The following is a 3,042-nucleotide window of genomic DNA, read 5'->3' as shown; positions in this document are numbered from 1 at the left end:
CTAAGGGGAGAAATATTCAATGATTTTCCTTGGGACTCTTTGCTAGTAATTAACGGTGGGGTTGGAGGCAGAATTGACATTTAATCTTCATTTCACATCTTTCATTATTAATAATCTGAGATTGACAGGTAGTGTGTGTAAGAATGAAACCTTTGTCAGAGTTTTAGGGAGTTTTTTTGGCACAGCATAATTTAGCTTATATGAACTGATAATCATATTCCAATAAGACTTTTCTAGTGAAATTTAACTTAATTCATAAAATAAAAGTACAGATTTCAAATATCTTTATTTTAGATAGGTAACAAAGGGCTTCAGTGTCTTATGGAACTAGGGTGCAAAATCCTGTCCTGCCAGTAGGTGTCATCATCAACATTATGCAGTGCACGCCTAATGCCTCTCTTAAGTCCTAGCAAATGCTTGGACTTAAGACATTATGAGTTGGGTGCCAAAGAAATGAAAAGAAATAAGATAAGCGTTCCCATTTGCTAGGAGTTGACTCCAAGTAATAATAATTATTTTAAAGTTAGGCCAGGTGCAGCGGCTCACGCTGTAATCCCAGCACTTTGGGAGGCCGAGGTGGGTGGATCATTTAAGGTCAGGAGTTTGCAACCAATCTGATCAACATGGTGAAACCCCGTCTCTACTGAAAATACAAAAACATTAGCCGAGCGTAGTGGCACATGCCTGTAGTCCCAGCTACTCGGGAGGCTGAGGCAGGAGAATCGTTTGAACCCGGGTGGCAGAGGTTGCAGTAAGCCGAGATTGCACCACTGCACTCCAGCCTGGGCGACAGAGCAAGACTCCGTCTCAAAAAATAAATAAAATAAAATAAAATAAAGTTGGCTTCCTGTTTTCTCAGGCATATAATTTTGAAATTTTGTGCATTGATTTCCTTTAATATGGAAAATTTTAAATTAAAATTTAATGTCAATATTTGATTGTCACACTGAACTTGATAAATGACACAAGATTATGGAAGCCATCATTAAATCAGTTAAGTAATTCATGCATAGCATTTCATGCTTGTACTATCTGTACAAACACCTATAACCCCTTAACAATAACTTCTATTATAAATAAGTAGGCGAACATTGTTTACTCTCCTCCAAACAGTGCTTTAGGGGCCAATGAAAACCCACCAAAAGATGGCGCATACTTGTCCTTCAGCCTTCTTTGCTCCAAACATATCCACACTTGTGCCAAAGGCTCGTCAAGTTGCCAGTCTGGGTCTGTTATAGCAAATAAAAAGCAATAATGGTAAAACAAAAATGAAAAAGTAACGGTGTGAATGTGTCTATAATAAACAGCTGTGAGAGTGGGGCGTGGTGACACGAGCCTGTAATCTCAGCTACTCAGGATGCCTGAGGCAGGAGAATCACTTGAACCTGGGAGGCGAAGGTTGCAGTGAGCCGAGATAGCGCCACTGCACTCCAGCCTCGGTGACAGAGCAAGACTGCGTCTCAAAAAAAAAATAAAAGAAAAGAAAGTACACTCTACCCTGTAGGCATATTTCAGAATACAAATATGCCCTTTACTTTACAAAATTAGATATAGCCCTTGGAAACATTTCCTGAAGACCACTGCCTTACACCAGTTAATATCAACCATTTCTCTCTGAAAGCAAAATAGCCAAGAAGGCTTTCCTTCTCAAATACATGTTTTTCTTTTAACCTGATGTGGTTGTCTGAGGGCCTATTGGTGTTCTGTGGTGATAGATGCCATAAAACATTTGTTTTTTGGACTAATTGGATGACTTTGGTTCCCAGAGCTGTCGGCTACACAATTTTTACAAGTGGTATGTTCAAGTGAAAGAAAATTTCTAAAATTAAAGTTCTACAGAACAGAAAAACTAGACAAGTCTTAAAGGTCTGAAGAGTTTGTTCTAAACTGTGAGCACCTCCTAATGGCTGGTTCAAAGAGCAGGATTCCACCATACTCCCTTTAAGATTAGACATTTAAACAAAGCATAGAAAAAGTCAACAGTTCATAACTGAATTTTTTTTGTTTCTTCCTCCCCTCTACTCCCTATTTTTTCTTTCCTTGCTTATTTTTAAGACATTGTAAGCTGACTCAAAATAAATAGACCTTTTAAAAACTGCACCAAGTAAAGAGAACTAAGAAATTATATTAGCTAAGGGTTTCAAATCAAAGGAGGACAAAGATGAAAACTGTTTAGTGAAGAAGATTGTGGTCAAAAGCAAATATTTCTAAATGAAAACAGAAGTTAAGAAAATAATAGCTAGGGATACAAAGTATTTGTATGTTCAAAACTTTTTATAAAGATTTAAGAATTTTATTTCTGGAAAAAATATTAATTATGATATTGGTTATTTAAACACATGTGGGGGCACATATGTATTTTATTACCTAGATGGTAAAGATGATTAAACTTGTATTTTTAAAATATTAGCTTTTAAAAACTAAAAAACAGCAAATATATTATTTTGCCTTTGGTAATAATCCAATTATGCTGTATTGATTATAGGAGATGCTGTCAGTAATCCAAACTGCAGAACTTAGAGGGTGCAAAGGGATCTCTTAGAGGTTTGCAATGTGCAAGGAACTGGATTGACTTTGTGATTCTTAGAAATAAACGAACAAAAACATGTTCTACCAGGGAACATCTTTAAGATTTTAGTCAGCATCTTGAATTAACTTTTCTAGGATCTTCTGAACCAAATGAAGGATTTTTTGTTTATTGAGATCTTAGGATGTTGCTTTTCTTCAAGGAGAAGATATATGAACTTAACATCTCTTCACTGCTAGCGTTTGCCGGACACACAGAGTTTAAGAATCTCATTGGATCCTTCATGTGTCCAAGCTCCAGCTCACTATAGTGCTCCTTCCCTTCCACACTGTTGGTGACCCCATCGTTTCTTTTCTCATGCACTCTGTAGTCTGTGCCATAGCTGTGCTAAAGCCAGCTTGTCCTCCATATGGCTAAGGGTGAAAGAAAAAGATAGGCAGTATTGGTCTTGTACTTTTTTGTTATTCTCAGGTAAGTTCTTCAATTTGGACACAATCTTTAAAAAGTTACCTCTT

This window comes from Homo sapiens, chromosome 18 (genome assembly GCF_000001405.40).
Source record: "Homo sapiens chromosome 18, GRCh38.p14 Primary Assembly".
In the NCBI taxonomy this organism is placed as follows: Eukaryota; Metazoa; Chordata; class Mammalia; order Primates; family Hominidae; genus Homo; species Homo sapiens.
The sequence above is the reverse complement of the archived record's forward strand: the minus strand, read 5'-3'. Positions refer to the sequence as shown.